The sequence below is a fragment of the Homo sapiens genome, chromosome 13, assembly GCF_000001405.40.
Source record: "Homo sapiens chromosome 13, GRCh38.p14 Primary Assembly".
NCBI lineage: Eukaryota > Metazoa > Chordata > Mammalia > Primates > Hominidae > Homo > Homo sapiens.
The window spans coordinates 45,457,490-45,483,644 of NC_000013.11; the positions used below are offsets into that span (position 1 = coordinate 45,457,490).

Here is a 26,155-nt window from a genome sequence, read left to right on the forward strand (position 1 = left end):
AAGTCTCTTTATTTGAACAATCTCAGATAAATTCTGTTTCTTGATGGGACCCTAACCAAATACAATCTGTTAATTCTCTCCTCCATGTTGCTAAACCTCCTATTTTCCATCTTCTTGTCTCATGCTGTATTTGGAGAAATGTCTCTATATCTATTTTCCAACTTACTGTAATTCTCTCTTCAACTATTTACCTATCTATTTTAATTCCAATAATAATATTTTTCAGTTTTAAGGATTGTTTTAAAAATACAATTTTTTAAAAAACTATAAATTTATCATTACAATTATACATTGGTATATGCAAGGAGATTGGTTTCAGGGTCACATGCATATAGTCAAATCCATGCTTACTCAAGTCCTGCAGTTGGCCCTGCAGAAATTGCATATACCAAAAGTTGGCCCTCAGCATACACAGGCTTTGCCTCCTGTGAATATTGTATTTTCAATTCGTTTCTGGTTGAAAAGAAGCCGTGTATTAGTGGAAATGCACAGTTGAAACTTATGTTGTTTGAGGGTCAACTGTGTAGTTTTATATGATTATTTTATAATCTGCCTGGCTATTTTTGATAGTCTTCTTCCCTTGTTTGGTTTGCTTCTTGATTTCTTTCTTTTTTTAAAAAAAATATTTTTAGTGATGGAGTCTTGCTGTGTTGCCGAGGCTGGTCTTGAACTCCTTGGCATCAAGCAATCCTCTTGTCTTAGCGTCCCCAGTACCTGGGATTGCAGGCATGTGTCACCATGCAGGGCTTCCTTCATTTCACATGTATATGAGAGCCATGCTCTGAAAATTATCCTTTGACAAGGGGGAGTACAGGGCCCCAGCAGTGTATGATGGGAGGCTGGACCTCACCCAGACTGCAGAGTAGATGCCCCTGAGAAAGACATTAAAGCTGAGAACTGAGGGATATCTAGCCATTTGTAATGGTACCCAAATTGCTGGACTCCAGGCTTCTCCAGGCCCAACTCTAGCTCCATGGTCTCTTCTACCACCCTTGGAGATACAGTAGCATCTGTCGTTCCCTGCACTATGTTTGAGTCTGTGTGAAGGGTCTTTGTGAAGCTGCCTACAGAATTTCTCACGTGTGCCTACTCCATTGTTCATGCGCTACTCTAGTAGGACTTGGGAGTACTCTAGGCTTTTTTCATTCTCTACCACCATACTTAGGAAGCAAGAGATATATTTTGTCTGATCTCAGAACATTCATGAACCACCCTCATCCCCACCACCCAGATGGTAGAACCCCTTCTCAAAAACACTTGCTGCAAGATACCATCCTGCTCCCCTCTGTAGACTCCCTCTTTTCTCTAAAACACGTAGTTTCTTAAGGTAGGACAAAAATAGAAGGTGTATTTTTCCAATACCTGTTTTACAACTGAGTGGCTGCTTTTAAAGCTCAAAAGCTGTCCATGTGACACGGTTGTTTGTTGGGTCTGCCGTGACAATCCTCCATTCAGGTGGTGGATACTCAAGTCTGGCTCATTAGAATAGACAAGGAGCTGTGTGTATGTGGAAAACATTCTCTCAGCATGCTTCATGTCAAACATTGGACTCGTCACCCTCTGCCAAGCTATCTTCTTCTGTGCTCCCCTCTCAGTGAAGGACACACCCATGTGTCCAAACCAGACATCCTGACTCCTTCGTGTCCATTCAGTTACACCTCAATCCCGGTGGGCTTTATCTTTTTGATATCTCCTCCTTTCACTCTCCTCTCTCCATGTCCACCAACACTCCTAATTCAGGCTGTCCAGATGACTGAAACAGCCTCTATACTCTCTGTTCCCACTTCTGGATTGGCTTCTGGTCAATGCATGTGCCACACTCTCCAGGACTTTTCTAAATGGCCAATGGGCAATGTCCTTACTGCCCGATCTCCTCAGCACAGAGGCCAAACTTCTTATCATGGCACCCAGGCTTTCACAGTCTTGTCCCTATGCACCGCTTTGACATCATTTCTTGTCATCTTTCTACCTCCAACTTCAAATTCTAATCATATTGTCAAATTTTTTACTTCCTACAGGTGTTCTGTGGTCTTGCTTCTAGGCCTTAGCACATACTGTTCCCTCTCACTTGAAAAAGTTTCTCCTTCTCTGTCTTATTGCTATTCAGATCCCAATTCATTCAAAATATATTTATTGAGTATCTACTGTATGCCAAGCACTGTTAAAGGTCTCTCCAGAAAACCTACCCTCATCATCCAAGTATGGATTAGATGCTTTTCTTCCTTGCTTCCTGTAATCATCTTATGCTTATTCACAGATACTACATTTTATATTGTATTGCACTCGCCAGTGTTTGTCTGTCTACTTTACCAGACTGTAAGCTCCTTGAATACAGGAAATGTTCTGATTTAGTATTGAATACTCAGATCAGCACACAATGTAATATGGTTTGGCTGTGTCCCCATCCAAATCTCATCTTGAATTGCAACTTCCACAATTCCCACATGTTATGGAGGAACCTGGTGGGGGGTAATTGAATCATGGGGGTGGGTCTTTCTCATGCTGTTCTTATGATAGTGATTGGGTCTCATGAGATTTGATGGTTTTAAAAAACGGGAGTTTCTCTGCACAAGCTCTCTCTTTGCCTGCTGCCATCCATGTAAGATGTGACTTGCTCCTCCTTGCCTTATGCCATGATTATGAGGCCTCCCCAGCCAGGTGGAACCATAAGTCTAATAAACCTCTTTCTTTTGTAAATTGCCCAGTCTCGGGTATGTCTTTTTTTTTTTTTTTTTTTTTTTTTTTGATTCAAGGTCTCACTCTGTCACCCAGACTGGAGTGCAGTGGCGCCATCTTGGCTCACCACAACCTCCACCTCCCAGGCTCAAGTGATTCTCCCGCCTCAGCCTCCCGAGTAGCTGGGATTACAGGTGTGTGCCACTACCACCTGGCTTATTTTTACATTTTTAGTGGAGATGGGGTTTCACCATCTTGGCCAGGCTGGTCTTGAACTCCTGACCTCAAATGATCCACCTGCCTTGGCCTCCCAAAGTGCTGGGATTACAGGCATAAGCACTGTGCCTGGCTCTCAGGTATGTCTTTATCAGCAATATGAAAATGGACTAATACAGAACCCAACACACAATTAATGTTTGATAAGAGGATGAGTGAATGAATGAATGGGTAATCTATAATGTTACTAGATCTCTAATGCTGTACAATAAGCACACACACACATGCACCCACACAACGAACATATAGGCATAATTATGATATATGCGTATCATTATAAATAACACATACTCATTAAAACATTTGAAAAACAAAATACAAGTAAAATTTAAATGTAATTAAAATGACTGTCTAGTAAGCCATCAAGCAAATTTACCATAATTCTATACTTAAATTGTTTCTAAATGTTTTTTAATATCCTGCTGTGAACATCTTTGTAGATAAAGCTTTTTTAAAAAAAATTAAGAGATTATCAATTTATGAAAAAGCCCTAGAAAAGGAAGTAAAAAAAAAGTGAGCATTTCAAGGCTAGTGATAGATATTTCCAAAAATGTTTTTACCAACATTTACACATGACTTTATTGCATGTGTTTTAATTTTATTATTAGCAAAGAGGCAGTTCATAGCTTTTTGAGGTTGAAATTTTGGAAGGTAATTATGTCTTTCTTCAAAACATGCCTTGATTCTAAATATTGATTCTGAATTCTAAGCTGTGGTACTATTTGTCTAATTCTTCTGTTATTATGAAATAAAGCCTTAGCTACTATTTAAATAAATTGTCAAGGTTTACAGTGATTTATAGTCACTGATGTGTAAATGAGAAATTGATAAAGTGAGTAAGAAAGGAAATAATTTGAAAAGGAAAACAGATCTTCAGACCCTTGATGAAGCTATAGAAACCTATAGCAAGGGAAGTGGTTCTTCTGATAATAGGCTGGAGAGTATACATAAAGAAATCCATCAATTCCACAAGAACGTGCTCTGAAAATTCACGAGGCAATTGTACACATGCAGCTGTGTATAAGAATGATTTGAACTATTCCATTTTGTAACTTTGCTGTTTTATAAGCAGTGAAGTAAAATGGAAAATGATCTGAGAAGTCTGTGTGTTCTAACGTTCTTCCTCTTTTACGCCATGTTTAGTGTTTTGGCACTAGTACAACCTTGAAGTACCATAGAATGCTGGGAAGCAGTTCTGCCAGCCTGTAATGCTCATCCTTGGAACTCATGCTTGCTAAAATGTCCTGTGACAAAAAAGTACGAATGGGTTCAAATGTACGAATGGGTTCATGTTGCTCACTTTCATTTGTGTTAGCACAGAGGGAAAAGAGAAGGTCCTGCCCAGTGTCCTGGTTCCAATGACAGGTCTGCCCTTTACTAACTGTTATCCTGAGCAGCTCACAAACCTCCCTGAAGTTTGTTTTTATCATTCATTAAATAGGGCAAAAAATAATATCCACCAACTACCTACCTGAGTGAAAGTGAGCAGCAGATGAGAGGTGCTTTGGAAATCAACACATGAGCTATTCTTGCAATGCCACATTATTAGCGGGGGTCCTTTGCAGTGTCCAGGTTTGAGTCATTGAGGAGGGCTGACCATGGCGAGGCTATGAAGCCCTCACTATAAGGAGGTCTTTGGATCCTTACCGCCGTCTCCTTCCCTATCTCTCCCCTTCCTCAATCTAGAGCACCTCTGCCCCTTGTCCCTTAGGCATTTTTCCATTTCCAGGGGCCTATTCTAAGATATTACTGGGTGAAAAACCCTAGGAAGCAAAGAAATGTGGAATTGCAGACACTTGTAGTAGGTAATAGGAAAGTTTAACCATGGTCTATGTCTTTATTAGGGCAGTAGACAGTAGGATGTGGTGCAGTCTTTCTCAAACTAGAGCTTGTGATTACATTTTTAAAATATTTGTTTTCATTTCAACTCTTTTTTTTTTTTTTGAGACAGAGTCTCGCTCTGTTGCCCAGCCTGGAGTATAGTGGCACAATCTCAGCTCACTGCAAGATCCGCCTCCCGGGTTCATGCCATTCTCCTTCCTCAGCCTCCCGAGTAGCTGGGACTACAGGTGCCTGCCACCACGCCCGGCTAATTTTTGGTATTTTTAGTAGAGACTGGGTTTTACCATGTTAGCCAGGATGGTCTCGATCTCCTGACCCCATGATCCGCCCGCCTCAGCCTTCCAAAGTGCTGGGATTACAGGCGTGAGCAACCACACCCAGCCTCATTTCAACTCTTAAAACTATATTCATGCATATTCTGGATCACCAACATGACAGTTTTATAGTTTAGGATTACCACATGATTTCAGCTTCCACCCTCCTTGTTTGTGCATATAGAATATTTTTAATAAAGCTACTAAAAACAGCAGGGTTGTTTTAATATGCAAATGATATATACAAGCCAGATAAAGGAAAAATGGTATTAGGGATTTACCCTGAGTCAAGTGTTCCCAGTAGTTCAAATGGTGGGGAACACAGCATGCTGCTGGTATAACAGAAGTGTGATGAACTCCCAAGCAGCTGTATAGCAGTAGTCAGGACTGTCTTCGTGTTGCCAGAAGCAATTTCGTTTTCCAGCAAAATAATATCCCACATCTCACTTGAGTTGTTAATGTGAATGTTATTGGTTATATACCGTTATATGTTAGTTATATTTCTGTTGGCATGTAACTTGCATGTCTATTTTGGTATAAACATCCAAAGCTTATGTCAAGTCTTATTTTTGTTCATACTTAAGCAATATAATACAATTATTTACATCAACATTGGGGATCTGCAGATTTTTTAAGGGCTTTGTACAGCAGGCAACTTGGAGAAGCTGTGGTATATAAAGGGTGTCAGACACAGTCAGGATATCTAAGTTCCAGTGGTGACGCTGATGTTAACCACCTGATTGCAGGATGTTAGGCTGCTTGCTTCACCTCTACGGGTTGTAGTTTGCTCCTCTGTAGACAGAAAGGGCTTGATTATATGATTTTAAAATTCTCTTCCAACTTCAAATTCTATTCTTTTTTTTTTTGAGACAGAGTTTAGCTCTTGTTGCCCAGGCTGGAGTGCAATGGTGCAACGTTGGCTCACAGCAACCTCCGCCTCCTGGGTTCAAGCGATTCTCCTGCCTCAGCCTCCCGAGTAGCTGGGATTACAGGCATGCACCTCCACGCGCAGCTAAGTTTTTTTGTATTTTTAGTAGAGACGGGATTTCTCCATGTTGATCAGGCTGGTCTCGAACTCCCGACCTCAGGTAATCCGCCCACCTCGGCTTCCCAGAGTGCTGGGATTACAGGTGTGAGCCACTGCGCCCGGTCTCAAATTCTGCTCTTAAAAGATCAGAGCCTTCATTTGGGAACATAGCCAGGCACTGATTTGTGCTATAAAGCCTGAATAAAGCCTTCAGACTTTACCCAGACAATGGTCAAAATTGCTACGAAGCTGTTTCCACCTGCCTTGACTCCAGGGAGGAGCAGGAAGAGGCCTCCATAACTTGTAGAAGATTGTCTGTTCTCCACCATTTATTTATTCAATCGTTTATTTATAGCAGTATGGACTCATGGGTATTTATTTTATTCTGTAAATTATGATCCAATACTATCATTATTTATTTTGTTGCTCAAATCTACAATATGATTTAAATGGTAGAGTAGAATTACATGTCTGTACCACAAATTATTATTATTATACATTTTGAGACAGTCTCACTTGATGCCCAGGCCGGAATGCAGTGGCAAGATCTCTGCTCACTGCAACGTCCACCTTCCAGGTTCAGGAGATTCTCCTGCCTCAGCCTCTCAGGCTGATTACTGGCATGTGCCACCACGCCTGGCTAATTTTTGTGCTTTTAGTAGAGACGGGGTTCAACCATGTTGGCCAGTCTGGTCTCAAACTCCTGACCTCAGGTGATACGCCCACCTCGGTCTCCCAAAGTGCTGAGATTACAGGCCTGAGCCCCCGCGCCTGGTCTGTGCCACAAATTCTTGATCCAGTTCTTCAATGTTGGACATTTAGGTTGTCTCCAGTTATTTGATACCATTAATGATGTCTGAGATACACACATCTTTGAATTTTTTATGTGTTTCCGTAAATTAGTTTTCTAGTAGGGGAATTACTGGATGTTGGAAAAGTTTATGCTTTTGGTTTTGATCCAAGAGGCATAAATTGTCAACATGCCAACATGGAAATCATACACTCCACACATTCTACCCAGACTACCCAGCTGTAAGCAGAGAGGTGTAGATCCAAGTCTCCTGCCGGCAGGGTGATTTAGCGCAGTTGTCAATAATCTGTACAACACGTAACAATAAAGTTATTGATGTTGAGGAAAAGACTTCCGGTAGGGGCATTTCTATTTCCATTGGGTCCTGTCTTCTCCACCTTCTACGTTTCAACCGGAAATAGTCGTACCCATTTAAAGCCACGTCGGTACTGGCCTCGGTCCCGCCCCCCACACTGCGGAACCGTTTCCGGGGTCAGGGCATTCCGTCCCGCCCCGCCGCCGGTGCAGTGTTGGAAGCTCCGGTTCTCCCGGAAGTGGCCCAGGTCTCTCTGTCGGGGTCCCCTCCATCTCGCTGCTGCTGAAGGCCGCGAGGGCGGCGGCGATGGCGGAGGCGGCGCTGTTGCTGCTGCCTGAGGCGGCGGCGGAGCGGGACGCTAGGGAAAAGCTGGCTCTCTGGGATCGGAGACCGGACACGACGGCGCCGCTGACCGACAGGCAGACGGACTCGGTATTGGAGCTGAAGGCGGCGGCAGAGAACTTGCCGGTGCCAGCTGAGGTGAGGTGATGGGCAGGAACCGGGCCGGGGCGATGGGGCTGGGATTCTCCTCGGGCGCCCCGGCAGGACCCCGGCCTCACTAGCCTCTGCCCAGGATATCTCTCCACTCCTCCCTGGCCATGGTGGCGGATCCGGTGGGAGGGGCCTCATCTCCCAGGCTGTCAGGCTTCGCTCTGCCTGCGACCCCGACTCTAATTCTGCCTGGGGACGGCTGTGGGGGTGTCCTGCAGCTGGTGCTCGCCGGAACCCAGTCCTCCCCCAGCAGCATGGGACGGTTGGCCCGGAGCCTTGCACCGAACGTTTTGCCCCAGACGAGGCGTCCTGTCAGCCGAGGCGTAATCCTGCTGCCCACTCTCTCCCAGAAGGAGAGGCAGTCAACCCGAGGTGCTGTGCTGCAGGACAGTCTCCAGCGCGTGCTCGTTTACCGCCTTAATGATTCACCTAGGTTGCTTTGTCCATGGGGGTCTTGGGGAGACCAAAACTTGGTCCTGAGTGAGTTTCATTTATCGCACATTGAACTATGAGCTCTCAATCAAGTGCAAGTTATGGGAGATCAGATTTATTTCACCTATTGCAAAGCAATAAAAATGAATTTTATTTGAAAGTTGGCTCAGTACATTATTAAGCAGTGCTGGTTTTCGGTGTTAGAGTCAATGTGTTTAATCCACTTACCATTAGGATATTATGCACTACTGCTTCTTGTGTGATTCAATTCAATTAGTTGTAATAGCAGGAAGTAACATGAATTGTCAGATGTTTGACAAACGTTTTCCAGTTTTGAGGGCCAGGTTTAGGAGGATTATTTTATATAAGCAGTGGTGATGGTTACTTTTGATGTTGGAAGCATTCTTTTCTCTCGCTCTGTCGCCCAGGCTGGAGTGCAGTGGCGTGACCTCGGCTCACTGCAACCTCCACCTCCCGGGTTCAAGCGATTCTCCTGTCTCAGCCTCCCGAGTAGCTGGGATCACAGGTGCCTGCCACTACACCCGGCTAATTTTTTGTATTTTTAGTAGAGATGGGGTTTCGCCCTGTTGTCCAGGCTGTTCTCGAACTCCTGACCTCAAGTGATCTGCCCGCCTCGGCCTCCGAAAATGCTGGGATTACAGTCGTGAGCCACCGTGCCTGGCCTGAAGCATTCTTTTTATACGATTTGGAATTGTGTCCAAATGCAGATTGAGTTTAGAGTCTTCAACTTTTTCTGTCCTCCAACTTTAGAGATTTGATTTAAACGTTCTCTTCACATTCACTGTTGTATGCTCAGCCATCAAATAGGCGTTCTTTCTTGGGTTTCTTTTTCCACCTCTAGGATATGGTACCGGAAGTGGATCTGAAATCAATGAAGGCGCAGGTGGAAATTTCTTTGGCTCAGCTATCAAACTCTTTTATACCCTGGATAATAAAAGTTGTTTGCTCTATAAATTTTCCAGTCTGTTTATAATTGATTTGGCTCCTACTGCAGCAGGATGCTTGGACTTAATAGCACTGAGGGTGTGATGGGGGAGATACATATTCTACAAAAAAATTTGTTTTCATTGTCATGGGTCATAAACTATTATTTCTTATTCTCATTGAGCATGAAGGAGAACGTTTGGAATGAACTAAATGGAATCTTTCATTTTCACCCCATTCTTCCATATTTATCATTAGCCACATGCAGTCTTTAACATATGTTATGTCCCTACTCTGAGTTAGGTATTGAAGATAGAAAGATAAATAGGAAAGATGAGATCCTTAGCCTCATAGAGCTGACATAATTGTGGGGATCATGAACATGGAAAAAAAGAACAAAGAAGGTATGTTCAGATGGTGGTCCATAATATAAGGAAAATCAGATAGGATGGTGTGACAGAAAAGGATGAGGTGTGCCCTTTTAGAGAAAGAGGGAAGACCTTTCCAAGGAAGTGACAGCCTGAGGTGAGAACTGATGATGGACTACCTGAAGCTAGCCTCATAAAGACTAAAGAAATAACATTGCAGCTGGAAGAAAGAACAGCATAAGGTCATGGGTAGAGGATGAGCTTAATGAGTTCAAGAATTCAGTGAGGGTCTTCTGGTACGTGCAGCTTGGTATTGGATTCCTGTGAGAATGCAATAGCTGAGGCCAGGTGCGGTGGCCCACGCCTGTAATTTCAGCACTTTGGGAGGCTAAGGCGGGAGAATCACTTGAGGTCAGGAGTTCAAGACCAGCCTGGCCAACATGGCGAAACACCATCTCTACTAAAAATATAAAAATTAGCTGGGTGTGGTGGTGCATGCCTGTAATCCCAGGTACTTGGGAGGCTGAGGCATGAGAATCACTTGAACCCAGAAGGCAGAGATTGCCCTGAGCCGAGATTGCACCACTGCGCTCCAGCCTGGGTGGGTGACAGGCAAGATTCTGTCTCAAAAAGAATGCAGTAGCCGAGCTGGTTATGCACACATCCTGGAATCTTTGAGAAGGCAGTTCTCATTGCTCTTCAGCTTTACAGCCCTCATTTTCCTTTTCTGAAGTGTTTATATGTCTGTTGGGAAGACTTTGGAATTAATTTTTTTAGCCCTATACTACTCTTTTAACATTGGCAGCAAAAGAGAGTGCCACAATTTTCATTTTGTCCAATCAGTATAACTCAAGGATTTTCTGTAGTGTTTCACAATTTTCACGAGATAAATTACTTCCTGAACAACTGGAACTGAGCAGGCTAGTAGAATAGCAAGAGGCCAACTAACTCTTAAGTACATATCATAAAGATGTTAACTTCTTTAGAAAATAGCTTTCTCTTTTATGAAAGAGAACTAGTCTTATCTTAAAAAGGAATTATGCCTTTTTTGGCATTAGAGAAAATAATTTACAATAGAATATTAGGTAGACTTTTGTAGCCAGGGCAAACTTAGTAGTGAGGGGCCTATTTCTTTCTGTTGAATTTAGTAATTCTTGATAAAGTGCTAAAATAATTTACCCCGACATTTACCTATAATTTACTGTTACAGCTGTTGTTTTCTTGTAGGCTGTGTGACCTTAGATGTGATGTTTATCTTTTCTAAGCCTTAATTTTCTTCTTTATAAAATGGGGACTTAACTCATGATGAGTACTTATCTCATAGGGAATTGTGAGAATTATGTGAAATCACGTATGCAAGGTGCACGTGGCAAGTTACTTGCTATTATTCTTGTGCTTTCTTTCAAATTATTAACATCTTAAAAGAATAGATTAGAATCCTGTGATGCTGAGCTGGTATAGGTGTCATTCAGACCAAAGGTAAGAAAAGGAGAGGTTAAGTGCCTTGAGGAAGGTTCTGAGACTCCACCTATACCTCTTCAGTAATTTGCTCCAAGCAGAGAACAAAACATCAGGTTTCATTTAGGGAATTAATTGATCAGATTGATTATAAAAGTGGTTTTCTCCAACCCAGAACTCTGCAAGAAGTAAAGCTTGGGAGAGAAAGGTATGTTACTTGTTATTTCAGGGACCTGCTCAGCTGGTCAGGCAAAGCTTGAGAATTTATTGTACTTACTATTTAATGTTAGTGTCTCCATTTGCATAAACTATACAGTAGCTCTGCAGCACTGGCCCATTAGCAATCTAGAACTGTGTTCTCTCTCTAGTGGTGTCTGTCTGCTCCATCTGGAAGCCAGGACAGTGCTGGTAAGCAGCAGGCATTCAGTCACCTCCTCCTGAGAAGTGAATGAGAGGTCAGAACAGGAAAGTGTGTGATACCACCACACCCCTTTTTGACTTGTCATTCTATACCAGGTGTTTTGAGAAAGGAAGGCAGCTGCCTAGTCTACTTAATGGGGGCATTTTCTCGTATGTTATTAAAAAGCAACTTGTTTTGCTACTTTAAAAAATGATTTGTTTGAAGTAATTGCATTATGGCTTCTCTCTTGCTTGGTTTGAGAGAAGATGGTTTTGTATTAGAACAAGGAAACAGGGAGCCTCCTTTTGCCTCTAGTTTTTAAAGTTCTTATGATTGAAAAGTAGTATTTGTACTTGAAGTAATCAAATAGAATACTCTTATAAATTTAGAATATATTTACTCACATCTAGGTTACAGAACATATCTGGAATATCTATAGTAGTTTCTCAAGTAGAGTTTTCAAATTATTTTATTTTCTAAAGTTAATTAGAAGATAAACTTTTTTTGGTTCAAGATAACAGACTGAGCACACGTGTATGACATCCCTGGATCCCTTTGAAATGACAGTAATAAATGTGTGGCACACCAAAACCAAAGATGGTATCAATGAACCTGAAAGTTGGGCATATTTATAGAAGGCAGGAAGCATGTAGTATCCTTTTAAAAATCATTCTAAAGACTTAATCACAGAACCAGGTGCAAATATTATAAAATTTGATAATCTAAAAAAGAGATAGTACAGGTGACAGAATTTGACAGTAAACAGGGAACAGATATAGAGTTACTAATTTCTTTATCTTACATGGTGAAGTAAGTAAGAGTGTATATATAGGACCTAAAATTGATGAATTCAAACACAAAGCAGTAAATATTTTTTTTTAAGAGTTGTAGAGTTACCATAAAAGAAAACTGAAAATGGTTAAACTGGTGAAAACTGAGGGTGGGGGAGAATGTTACTTTTCATTTTAACTCTTCTGATGATTTGGATTAAAAACAATTATATTCATATATTTTGAATAATTTTCATAAAAGATTGATCAAAAATTCAAAATTATTTCTTTAGTTCCTTCTACTTTTACAGTTCTTCATTTTACCCTCAAATTCTTTAGAAAAACTCTCAAATTATAAACATTGGTATTGGCTTAAAGAAGAAGAATTGGACGAGCAGGGGAGAGGGAAGAAGGGAGACTTGCTTTTCACTTAAATATTCTGTATTCTTGGGACTTTTAAAATAAGCACCCCTTTATAGTTTAATGACAATGACAATGTAAGAGTAAATTCTGTCTTTTCCTTATACTCTGTTGAAGAGACATTTTAAAATGTTGCATATTAAGTGAAAAAGGGGAGGTGTGTATACTGTTATTTGGGTTTAAGGTATACTTCCTTTGTATATGCATAGACCATCTTAGAAAAGATACTTAAGAAACTAGTAACATTGATAGCCTGCCCCTGAGGAGGAAACTAGATGGCTGGAGAATGAGTTCCAGGGGAAGGAGACTTTTCACTGACTCCCTTGAGTTTTGTGCCTTGAGATTTATTACCTATTCAAATAAATACACTTAAAAGGACAGCTCTATGTATTATAAATGATTCTGGGACAAAAGGAGTTATACTTTTTATCTGGAATTTGTTATATGTTGTGAGGTAGTACTAGAATTATGCAGTGTAAGGCCTCATGAACTCTGATGGGAGAATATGATTATTACATTACTTATTAAAAAGGTGAAATAATGTAGATTCACTTGCAGTAATGAGAAATACTACTGTGATCGGTACACTTTGCCCACTTTCCCTCAATGGTAACATTTTGCACAACTATAGTATCTGGTGTCACAACTGGGATTTTGACATTGATCTACATTCTTTCAGATAGACTTATAATCGTTTTTCTCAAAAGAAGTTGAATTACAGATGGATATGGGTCTAGGTGATGTTGGAAGACTGAAGTTTGCCAGGTCCTCTGTGTATTTTCAGTTTTTTTAGTGGTTGCCTTAGGATTTACAATATACAGATGGTCCCTGACTTATGATGGTTCAGCTTATGACTTTCTGACTTTATGTGAAAGCTACATGTATTCAGTAGAAAGTGTACCTGTGGTGCCGGGCATGGCAGTGAGCCACAGCTCCCAGTGAGCCACATACTTTTGACTTAGGATATTTTCAACTTCCGAAGGGTTTATTGGGACACAACCCCATCATAAGCTGAGGAGCGTCTGTACTACTTTAATTAGTCACAGCCTACCTCTAAATATTATACCACTTCATTATGGTATAACAGCCTTACAGCAGGATTCTTTGGCTGGGCATGGTGGCTCACCCCTGTAATCCCAGCACTTTGGGAGACTGAGACAGGAGGATTGCTTGAGCTCAGGAGTTCAAGAATAGCTTGGGTAACATAGTGAGACCTCGTCTCTACAGAAAAAAAAAAGAAAAAAAAATCAAAAAGTTAGCTGGGTGTGGTGGTGCACGCCTGCAGCTCCAGCTACTTGGGAGGCTTAGGCAGGAGATGGCTTGAGCCCTGGAAATCAAGGCTGCAGTGAGCTGTGATTGCACCATGGCACTTCAGCCTGGGTGGCAGAACAAGAACCTGTCTCAAAAAAACACCCAAAACAGTATTCTTCCATTTCTTCCTTTCCCTGTTTTGTGATATTGTTTCAGGCATTTTACTTTTACATATGTTATAAACCCACAATACATTGTTACTACTTTTGCTTTTGACATTTCTTGCTGAGTGATTTAAAAAAAGAAAAACTGTCATATTTACCTTCATTTTAATCATTTCTGGAGCACTTCAGTTTTTTGGGTAGATATGTGTTTTATCTAGCGTTATATTCTGCCTGAAGAATGTCCTTTAACATTTCTTGTAGTATAGGTCTGCTGGTAATGAATTCTCTCAGCTTTTGTTTTTTTTTTGGTCTTTTTTTTGAGACGGAGTTTTGCTTTTGTAGCCCAGGCTGGAGTGCAATGGCGCGATCTCGGCTCACTGCAACCTCTGCCTCCCAGGTTCAAGCGACTCTCCTGCCTCAGCCTCCTGAGTAGCTGGGATTACAGGCGCCCGCCACTACGCCTGGCTAATTTTTGTATTTTTAGTAGAGACAGGGTTTCGCCATGTTGGCTAGGCTGGTCCTGGACTCCTGACCTCAGGTGATCCACCTGCCTCGGCCTCCGAAAGTGCTGGGATTACAGGTGTGAGCCACCACACCTGGCGCTTTTGTTTGTTTTAAACAGTCCTTATTTCTCCTACATTTTAAACAGATAATTCTCTATAGGTGTAGAACTCTGAGTTGAGTGTTTTTCTTTTGGCACTTTAAAGATGTCGCTCTATTGTCTTCTGGCTTGTGTAATTTCTGATGAGAAGTCTGCTGTAATTTTTACCTTTATTTCTCTGTATAGAATATGTCTTTTTCCCTCTGGCTGCCTTCAAGCTTTTATCTTTGGTTTTTGAAAGTTTGAATATGATGTGCACAGAGGGGTTTGCCTGTGTGTATGTGTGTATTCTGCTTGGGATTCTCTGAATTTCTTAGAGCTGTAGTTTTATATCTTTCATTATTTTTGGAATGTTCTCAACAGTTATTTCTTCAAATATTTCTTCCACCCTGTTCTCACTTGTTCTGCTTCTTTTGGGATCCCATTTCATGTAATTTGATATCATCATATAATTTGATACCATCACACAATTCTTGGATGCTATGTTCAGTTTTTATTTTCCCACTCTGTTTTCTCTGTATGATTCATTTTGGGTGATTTTTATTGACCTAACTTCAAGTTCACTGATTTTTTTTCCTTAACTGTGTTCTGTGTACTGATGAGCCCATTGCAGGTATTCTTCATCTTTGTTACCATTATTTTTATTTCTCACATTTCCATTTGACACAGTTTTCAGTTTTCTGTTGAAATTGTGTATCTGTTTATACTTCTTATCTGTGTGTTACACCAGAGCCTTTAACATGTTAATCACAGTTATTTTAGATTCCTTGTCTGATAGTTCTAGTCTCTTGCTCATCTGAGTCTGGCTCTGTTGATTGCTTTGTCTCTTGACTGAGTTGTTTTCTCTCTTTTTTTTGAGACGGAGTCTCCCTCTGTCGCCTAGGCTGGAGTGCAGTGGTGCAATCATAGCTCACTGCAAGCTCCGCCTCCTGGGTTCATGCCATTCTCCTGCCTCAGCCTCCCGAGTAGCTGGGACTACAGGCGCCCGCCACCACGCCTGGCTAATTTTTTGTATTTTTAGTAGAGATGGGGTTTCACCGTGTTAGTCAGGATGGTCTTGATCTCCTGACCTCGTGATCCTCCCACCTCAGCCTCCCAAAGTGCTGGGATTACAGGTGTGAGCCACTGCACCCGGCCTGTTTCCTCTTGTAATGTTTGCCATCTCTTTTTTCCCATGATTTGCCACAGGTGAGCCAGTGCTTGCAGCCTGTCTCTTCCTGGAGGTGCCTGTCGCTCCCCAGATTTTTATCTACTTGGTTACTCTGCAAGACTGGTGGATTCAAGACTAGTTATAATCTTGTGGATTATTTGGCTTTTTGTTATTGTGAGGGTACAAGCAACATTTCTTTCAGCTTTCTTCATCCTAGCCTAGCTTTCGTGTGTTTTCTGGTATATTTTCCAAATCTGAGCCATATCACCCCGGCCCCCCTTAGATATAATCTAAACAGTGCTGATAGAATTATGTGATTGAATTTGTGATGATCTGTTCATATAGAACTAAATTTTATTGCTAATAAAATATAATTTTGTAAAGACGGCTTTACAAGAAGTTGATTAGATTTATAAACTTACTCTGTTGCTGCTATTAGATGGGAATAATAATAATATAATATCAGTACTCAAATTTATTGCTTACAATATGTCAGGTCTGTGCTAAGTGCTTTACATGCAGCATTGCTTCAGGTGGGTTATCTTGAGTCTTGGGTGGCTCCCCAAGGAGACAGCTCATGTTGCTCATTAGAAGGGTTCTGCAGAGCAGGTGTAGATGCGGCTTATCTCAGCACAGCTTCCTCTGTCCTCCAGAACCCCTAGTGGCAGCATACGGTTGCTGATGACACTTTAGACTCAGGATAAATTCTTACTGGATTTGAGAAACTTAATTCTTGCTGGGCCACAGTCCTTTTATACTCAGGGATTGTGTTACCATTCAGAAAGAGTTTACATGAACAAGTGATGCCCTTAATAAGAACTGTTTACCTACACCTAGGACCCTCCTGACTCTTGAGCCAGGCTCATTTGTGGGGAGAAGGCAGATCAAGGACCTTCCTAAATACTTTGTCTGCAGCTTTCCAGCATTCTAAAAAGCCAGTTTTCCCACATCTTTGTTTTCTTTTTTACTCTTTTTTTTTTTTTTTTTTTTTTTTGAGATGGAGTCTCGCTCTGTCGCCCAGGCTGGAGTGCAGTGGCTCGATCTCGGCTCACTGCAAGCTTCACTTCCCGGGTTCATGCCATTCTCCTGCCTCAGCCTCCCAACTAGCTGGGACTACAGGCGCCTGCCACCATGCCCGGCTAATTTTTTTTTGTGTGTTTTTAGTTGAGACGGGGTTTCACCATGTTAGCCAGGATGGTCTCGATTTCCTGACCTCGTGATCCGCCCACCTCAGCCTCCCAAAGTGCTGGGATTACAGGCGTGAGCCACCGTGCCTGGCCTTCTTTTTTACTCCTTATAGTAACGTTATGATACAGACAGTGTATCCGTATCAGCTAAGAGAAGATAATTGAGGATTAGAAACATCAAGTAATTTGCCCCATGTCACACAGCTTATGAATGAACAGGAGCAGGATTCTAACTAGGCTGCATTGTAATGTACTTTACTGTACCATAAATATAGCCCTATTTGAACCCATACACAAAAAACTCTATTTTTAAAGGACAGTGTTTCTAAATTAGTGGTGCATTTTGCATCTAGCTTATTTTAGTTTTGAAGAGAAAATGCTATCTTCAGATGAAACTTCTATATTTAGAAGGTAGACAGGGTAGCACCTTCCTGAGACCTTGGATCTTGTCTTATATCAATGGACCTTAAATGTCATAAACTAAGAACTGAGAGCTGAAAACTGGAATTTGAACCTAAACAATTAGGCCCTTTTACTTTCCCCAGCATCTACTTTCCCTTTGTTTTGGTCTAAAAACAGTCTGTATGTCTATAAATAAATTAACACCTGGTCTTTCTTTGATAGTGGAGAACTAGAAAGTACTGTAGGTCTAATATTGTCAAAGTGAGACCTTGTCTGTGGGCCGCTTCTGAAACTGATGGAAAACTCTAAAATTCTTCCTATTCAGTTTTAATTTCAAAATTTGTCAGCAGGAAGGTGTGGTGAGATGTGCCAGTGGGTGGGTGGAAATGGTAGGAGGAGGTAATGTTTATTTCTAATCAATTCTTGGGTGTGATTTATTTATTTATTTTTTTAGACAGGGCCTCACTCTGTCACCCTGGGTGGGTGGCACGACCTTGACTCACTGCAACCTCCACCTCCTGGGCTCTGGTGGTCCTCCCATCTCAGCCTCCCAAGTTGCTGGACCACAGATGTGTGCCACCACACCCAGCTAATTTTTTTTTTTGTATTTTCAGTAGAGACGGGGGTGTCACTATGTTGCCCAGGCTGGTCTCAAATTCCTGGGCTCAAGTGATCCACCCAACTCTGCCTCTCAAAGTGCTGGGATTACAGGCGTGAGCCACTGAACCCGGTCATTGGGTGTGATTTGTTAATCCTGTTGGTCAGGCTTTTGTGTTAGATACTGGGGAGGGCAAACTACTTTCAATAGCACATAGGTTTTCTCTTTGCCTGGTGGTAGTTCACAAGAGGCTCAAGTGAGAAAATGTGTGTGGATTAGTACAGATTTACCACCCTTATTAGAAAGCTAACTCAGACCAGACTTGGTGGCTCATGCCTGTAATCTCAGCACTTTGGAAGGCTAAGGTAGGAGGATCACTTGAACCCAGGAGTTTGAGACCAGCCTGGGCAACATGTATAGACCCCCAACTCTACCAAAAATACAAAAATTAGCTGGGCGTGGTGTTGCGTGCCTGTAATCTCAGCTACTTGGAGATTGAGGTGGGAGGATGGCTTGAACTCTGGAGGCAGAGGTTACAGTGAGCTGAGGTGGCACCTTGCATGTCAGCCTGGATGACAGAGCAAGACCCTGTCACCAAAAAAAAAAAAAAAGCTTACTAATGGTGGGACATCAGTGTCATGTTTATATTTTGAGATGAGCATTTAATATAGAGCCTAAAATGTTAGTACTATATAGTATTTATTAACTTAATGTGATTTAATGGAAAATATTTCTTTCTCTTTCAAAACAACTGAGATGGAAACCCAATCTTGAGTTAAGTTCAGAGAATTTTCAAGTCACTTAAATATCTTTGTGACTCTCTTTTTTCAAGCTTCCAATTGAAGACTTGTGCAGTTTAACATCCCAGTCACTGCCCATTGAACTGACTTCAGTAGTGCCTGAATCTACAGAAGACATTCTCTTGAAGGGCTTCACTTCCTTAGGAATGGAAGAAGAAAGAATTGAAACCGCACAGCAGGTGAATTGCAGTATCTTTTCTAAGGATGTTTGATTATTTCAGATGTCTGAAGACAAGGCTAATAAAGTCCTAATTAAAAGTTCTGAACATTTGTCACCATAATTAACATTAAGTCTTTCTAGAACATTCTTGATTTTGCATTAGTTGTGGCTGTTTACGTGTTTTAAATGAATCTATTGCCCAATTATAGTTATGATATAGGTAAAAAAACATGAGATTCCATGTTTGGACGTTGATAGATTATTGAGGTTTTAATGTCTTATGCACTTTTGACTTCCCCCAATGTCTGTCTTCTGTTAACCTGTTCCCTCAGTGTGTGCATGGGTACCCCTCCATCTCACTTGTTGCTAGGTAGTCCTTTTTTAAAAAACCCAAATATTCTTTTTATATTAACATTTGTAGTTATTTTTCAGTAATTTAGCATGTGTAATTTTTTCTTGGTTTTTGTTCATTCCTAATTAGAAACCTAAACTTACAGTAGTTTCTTCTGCCACTTTCCTTGTCTCCTCTTTCTTTTCCTATTAAGAGTCAAAGTTGAGGCATTGACCAAATAAAACATAAAGTACATGTGTTGGAACTGGATTACATATATAGTAAGTTGAGAGAGGCAGTTCTACAAACCGATGAAGAATTACAGTTCCTGAGCTAGGCTGACCTGCACCTGAAAGTCAGCTCCATCATTTAGCATCTTTGTGAGCTTAAGCAAATTACTTAGCTTCTTAGATCTTTAGTTTCCTAATATATAAAACAGGGATAATTATATATTATTTCACAGGATTTTTGTGAGCGTTAAATACGATAATGCATGTAAATTCGTTGTGTAGCAAGTACACAGTAAATGCTCAGCAAATGATAGCCAAGGTACATGGCAAGCCTGTATACCCTTGACATTGAATCTTACTTGAGATTCAGTGTTCTCAGGTTCACTTGAAGGTAGTCTTGCACCACATCTGTGAACTTGTTTGGCCTGCTTAAAAAAAGTCCTCTGGATGAAACTCGTACCTGTTCTCTCTTTAAAATTAAAAAAACTAATATGCTGACTTATAATTTATGTACAATAAAATGTATTCATTTTAAGTGTCAGCTCAATGAGTTTTGAAAAGTGTATATACCTATGTATGTAACTAACAACTATAATTGAGATATAAAACATTTCTATCATCACCCCAAAAGTTTCTTCATACTTGTTTAAGGTCAACTCCCCGCATCCCCCTTTTAAATAATAGATATTTTTCAGGCCAGAATTCAGATCCAGGGCTAGCTGATACCAGAGTCCATATTCTCTTTTTTTTTTTTTTGAGATGGAGTCTCACTCTGTTGCCCAGGCTGCAGTGCAGTGGGCAATCTTGGCTCACTGCAAGCTCCACCTCCTGGGTTCACGCCATTCTCCTGTCTCAGCCTCCTGAGTAGCTGGGACTACAGGCGGCCACCACCACGCCAGGCTAATTTTTTGTATTTTTAGTGGAGGTGGAGTTTCACCTTGTTAGCCAGGATGATCTCAATCTCCTGACCTCGTGATCTGCCTGCCTTGCCCTCCCAAAGTGCTAGGATTACAGGCGTGAGCTACCATTCCCGGCCCCACAGTCCATATTCTTAAACCACTCTGTAATATTATTTTTGAGTTATAGCCTCACAGTTCTTATTAGATAACGTTAATATTGATATTTGCCCAAAGCACTATGTTACCTACTCAAATTTTGTAAACGATTATAGCAAGTAGGCATTAGCCTGTTAGGAAGAAATATTCATTTTTTACCTATTGTATGTTTAATACTCTTCCTTAATTTGACTGTGAAAATGGTCAGTTTTTTGTTTGTTTTTTTCAATCCTTAAGACATCTGAAATGGCCTTTTTTTTTTTTTGAGACGGAGTCTCGCTCTGTCACCCAAACTGGAGTGCAGTGGCGTGATCTCGGCTCACTGCAAGCTCTGCCTCCCGGGTTCATGCCATTCTCCCGCCTCAGCCTCTTGAGTAACTGGGACTACAGGCGCCCGGCTTATTTTTTGTATTTTTAGTAGAGACGGGGTTTCACCGTGTTAGCCAGGATGGTCTCTATCTCCTGACCTTGTGATCCGCTCGCCTCGGCCTCCGAAAGTGCTGAGATTACAGGCGTGAGCCACCGCGCCCAGCCTTTTTTTTTTTTGAGACAGAATTTTGCTCTGTTGCCCAGGCTGGAGTGCAATGGCGCGATCTCGGCTCGCTGTGATCTTGGCTCACTGCAACCTCTGCCTCCCGGGTTCAAGCAATTCTCCTGCCTCAGTCCCCCGATTAGCTGGGATTACAGGCATGTGCCACTACGCCTGGCTAATTTTTGTATTTTTAGTAGAGACGGGGTTTTACCATGTTGGCCAGGCTGGTCTCGAACTCCCGACCTCAGGTGATCCGCCCACCTCGGCCTCCCAAAGTGCTGGGATTACAGGTGTGAGCCACCACACCCGGTGAAATGGCCGATGTTTTAATATCCTTTGCTTTTCCTAGCATATGGGTATTGTGGATATAATTAAACTATTTTCTCCTGGCCTAAAACTGATTATGTCTGAGCCCTAAGCAATAAAACTTGGATAACGTCTGTCCTTTTGACTTGCTGCTTAGCATGTAGCCACTTTTAATTTTGTCAGTTTTAGTTTTGTTCACAATATAATACTCTGTTTTTCCAGTTTTTCTCATGGTTTGCAAAGCTGCAAACTCAGATGGATCAAGATGAAGGAACTAAATATAGGTATGTGTGTCTCTTGCATTTGTTGAATATCTTAATTTTTAGATCACAGTCATCTGAAGCATTTCATAATCAGTGTCTTTAAATAAAACTGAGGTATTAAGAAAACTGTAACAGCCATATATTCTTTAAGAATAGCCAGTGAGAAGATTTGGGTCTTTAAAACTGTTATTTAGAAGTTGTGTGATTAAAAACAAAAAGAATTACATTATAATTAATAGGTTAGGAGGGATAGATGTTAGTTTTTAGATAGCTCCAGAAAGAACTAGGTTCAGGTAGGAGTTGTAGAGGAATTCTAGGAGGTGTTTGTTGCTTTTTAGAAGGAGAAACATCCCTGAAAGACTTTCAGGATGGCCACTTAGGTTGGTTGTAACTATACTTCTGTCAGTGGATGCTGACAGCATGGGGGAAATGTTGACGGCTGATTTGGGGGCTGTGGGTTGAGTGTCCACATTCAGGGTATTGATTTGTTGATGGCTATTATTGCTAGGCAGTGTGGTAGACTCTTTAATGTATGATCCCATTTAATCTTCGTAACAGCTGTGTGAGGAAGGATATTACTATTCTTATTTTACAAATGAGCAACCTGAGGCCTGGAAATAATAAGTTACTTGCTTAATCTCATGCAGACTGGGCAGAGCTGGGGCTTGGACCCAGGTCTTCTAATTCTAAATCTAGAATTCTTGCCATGACATCACACCATCTTTCAAAGAGGGAAGTGATCTGAAGGATTGGCCTTACTTGGTGCCTTGGGATGGCTTTGGTGTCCCAGTCTTTAGAAGTTGAGCCAGTGATTCATTGCCTTATATGTGAAAAGCCAGATTATGGCTTCAAGGCTAATTCCTTTTGTTACTTATAGGATTAGTGATTTGCCTTCTTAAGTATTGAAACGGTTTATGACATAACTTTTGGTACATTTCTTAACATAATCAACTTATGTGCATAGGCAGTTTTCCTCCTGAAATTCGAACATTTTGGGAAAAATGAGCCTTTGTTGTTTTTTTACTGTGCTTATTGGGGGAAAAGATTATTGCCAATCCCCTTTTGGTTCTGTTTTCTAGACAGATGAGGGATTACTTGTCTGGGTTTCAGGAGCAGTGTGATGCTATATTGAATGATGTAAACAGTGCTCTTCAGCATCTGGAGTCTTTGCAGAAACAGTATCTTTTTGTGTCCAATAAGACAGGAACCCTACATGAAGCCTGTGAACAGCTCCTAAAAGAACAGGTAATTTGGAGTAAGAGAGAGGATCAGTCATTATATTTAATATTTTAAAATAGATGAATACAGTTTTATTTTAATTTTCTTAATTTCTCCAAGATGTTCAACTCTGCTGTGTTTGAGGCCCTGTGCTCAGCATGCAGATTGTTACACTGACAGCCTACTTTTTAAGTGCATGTGAATAGCAAAGGCAAGCCTTCTTATGTTTTGAGCTGTTAGGTCTCAGTACAATTTCCAAATGTAGTGGCTATGTTGGTTTGCTCTGATCACTCTTTATTACTGACACTTTTATTTTTTATTTTTATTTTTTTTGCTCTGTTGCCCAGGCTGGAGTGCAATGACGTGATCTCAGCTCATTGCAACCTCGGCCTCCTGGGCTCAAGCGATTCTCCTGCCTCAGCCTCCCAAGTAGCTGGGATTACAGGCGTGTGCCACCACACCTGGCTAATTTTTGTATTTTTAGTAGAGACAGAGTTTCACCATGTTGGCTAGGCTGGTCTCAAACTCCTTACCTCAAGTCATCTGCCCGCCTTGGCCTCCCAAAGTACTGGGATTACAGGTGTGAGCCACTGCACCCAGCTACTGACACTTTTCAAAGAAGCATAGTGATTGTACCAATGGTGAGATTTTGAAAAGATCAACTGATTGATTACTTTTGACTTAGAGCTAGAACACTTAAGTTAGTATGTCTCAGAATTTTCTCTGTATGTACTTTTGTGTATTTTAAAAATGCGATCATTTACTATTTTATGAAGAGATCATATAAAATTTACTGTAATATTATCGCCCCTTTTAGTTCATGATTGTAGAAATACTTGAGCTGAATTCTCATATCTGATATAAACCTCTGTGTCTAATGTAAATCTGTTTAGTGTAACTTTGAGACTGGCATGTTGATTCTTATATTCTTATAATAATTGATTTTTCTCTTTTAAAAAATGCAAGTCGGAACTTGTTGATCTGGCTGAAAACATTCAACAAAAGCTTTCCTATTTTAACGAATTGGAAACTATTAACACAGTAAGCATTGTTCTTTACTTCTTATAAAGTTAGTGATTTTTGTTTTATTTTTGCCTTTCTTCGTGTCATCTTTTAATCTATAAATTGGCTTGAGTGATATTTTAATTTAGCTTGCTTGCTGATAGATATTCCTATTTGTAGACAGTGGAGATACCATTACCAGTTCAGATTTTTAAATATTTGAGTTAAGATGTGTTTCTTAAATTGTATTCTTGGTATTAAAATCTCTTTATTGGCTACCTCTTATAGTTTCTTATTTGTAAGCTTTGAAGAAGATTGTAAGAAGAAATATTCAGTTTTAGATTTTGCTGTGGTTATGCTACCATGATAGTAGTCAAAACATTTTTAAAACTTATTCTCATGTTTAGTTTGAAGAAAAGTATAGTCCTCAAAATGTATAGTTGCATCCCAATAAAGTATAATAGTTCCAATAAAGACAAGTGTGTAAATTATATTTCTGTGTTTCTGACTCATAAATTAATCATAACTATGTATAAGTCATGTTATTAAAATCGTTTAATCATAGGTATTTAGTTTATTAAAGACATAGAACTAAAACTTGTGGCTAGTTAACAATGGAATGCAATGGAAAGTAGTTCATTGCCAAGCTATTTGTATATCAGGATAAGAAATGATTGACTGGTTGCATTTTACTTTCATAGTATGACTGCTAAATATAGTATGACTGCTAGTTAATCCTTTAATCTTCAGAAAAATCACCACTGCAAGTAGAAAAATTATGTATATTGTATACCAGAAAGTGAGAAATCTAGGTATTTCATATATTATTTGAATATGACATTGTATAGTGGGGTAATATATACCATGTCCTAATTCATGAAGAGTCCAATTAAAGCTTATTAGGAATAAACTGAATTAAATCAGTATGCTTTTTCTGTTTGTCCCTTCTTTATTGTACATGTGGGCTACATTCGAGGATATTTTGGTGACTTTTAAAATTTATTATAAAGACATGTTATGTCCTAAAGGCAAATATGCTGACTCTAATCCATAGTTTCCAACTTTTATCTGTATCATTTTTTATGAATTAAGATTGTTTTCTTTTTCTCTTAAAGAAATTGAATTCCCCTACATTGTCGGTGAATAGTGACGGATTTATACCTATGCTGGCCAAGTTAGATGATTGTATAACATATATCTCATCTCATGTAAGTCAGAGTATTTTTGCATGTTTTAAAGAAATCCTTAGATTCCTATTCCTGTTCCTATCTTTTTGTGTTTTTCAACTTTTCTGTGTTTAGCAGATGTTCCTATTATATCACTTCTTGTGCTGTAAAGTGATTATTTCTGTCCAAGGGAAAAATATGTATTTGTAACATATTAAAGAAAAGTTGTAGTGAATTCTTAGTCGTTATTAGCAGTGGTGTAAAAAGTACTTTTAGCTCCTGCAATAGCCCCTGGAATGGAACACATCCTGGCTGACTCAGCTTTATCCCATCTAACAGGATGAGCCGTTTTTAAATTGTTGGTGTCTTGACATGCCCGGTATTTCTTTGGAAACAGAAAGTGTTACTTGGGGGGAAATAAAGGGACAAGCCCTTTGATTTAATCACCCTCTATTTCTGTTTCTTCAGGATTTATTGCTGTGTTTATTTCCCCTAACTCCTATTCTTTTCCTAGTTGGGTCTTACATATTAGCCTTGAAGTCTGTGGGGTGCTGAAAATATCTTTTACTAACAACTGCAAATATGTATGGAGCTCCTACTTTGTGCCAGGCACAGGGGGTTTGACTGTGACTAAGACAGTCACAGTATTTATTCATCTTCATGGAGTTTATGATCTTTATGAAACCTGTTTTTGAACTTTATATATTGCTTTACATAGGGACACCTTGGTTTTCACTAAAAGCTTGCTTTTTATCTGTGTTCATTTCCACTTTGTAAATCTTTCTCTTTTCCTTACAGCCTAATTTTAAAGATTATCCCATATATTTGCTGAAGTTTAAACAGTGTCTTTCTAAAGCTTTGCACCTCATGAAGACATATACTGTGAACACACTACAGACCCTCACAAGTCAGTTACTGAAAAGGGTGAGTTAACTGATCTCAACAACAGGTTTTTGTTATTGTTGTTGTTTTGATTCATTCATCTTCCATAATCTTTGGCTGAGATTAGTACTTTGTAATTCCAAAAAATTTTAACCTTTTGTTAAGAATATGTACTACAGCTTTTTATTTATAGTAGGGAAAAATGACTATGTTATAAATATCCCTTGCAAATGTTATTTTCAAATAATGTTTAATAGTGTGAGAAGTATTCAGTACTATATGATGAATAATCAGATACAAATTATTTGTCTCTTAAAACATTCCTTTTCTA

At 40.2% G+C, this 26,155-nt stretch overlaps 1 protein-coding gene across 4 annotated transcripts in view; it reads left to right on the forward strand.

Moving 5' to 3' along the window:
* Positions 1 to 7,449: 7,449 nt before the first annotated feature.
* COG3 (component of oligomeric golgi complex 3) overlaps positions 7,450 to 26,155 on the forward strand; it is a 71,763-nt gene continuing 53,057 nt past the window's right edge. For all 4 annotated transcript variants that reach the window (XR_429222.5, XR_007063702.1, NM_031431.4 and 1 more), the window contains exons 1-7: positions 7,450 to 7,721; positions 18,712 to 18,858; positions 21,516 to 21,577; positions 22,636 to 22,801; positions 23,741 to 23,815; positions 24,892 to 24,984; positions 25,741 to 25,866. Coding sequence is in view for 2 of the 4 variants with exons in the window: in NM_031431.4 (NP_113619.3) it covers positions 7,548 to 7,721; positions 18,712 to 18,858; positions 21,516 to 21,577; positions 22,636 to 22,801; positions 23,741 to 23,815; positions 24,892 to 24,984; positions 25,741 to 25,866 (843 nt within the window). In the remaining 2 variants the exon portion in view is untranslated. The remainder of the gene's footprint in view (positions 7,722 to 18,711; positions 18,859 to 21,515; positions 21,578 to 22,635; positions 22,802 to 23,740; positions 23,816 to 24,891; positions 24,985 to 25,740; positions 25,867 to 26,155) is intronic.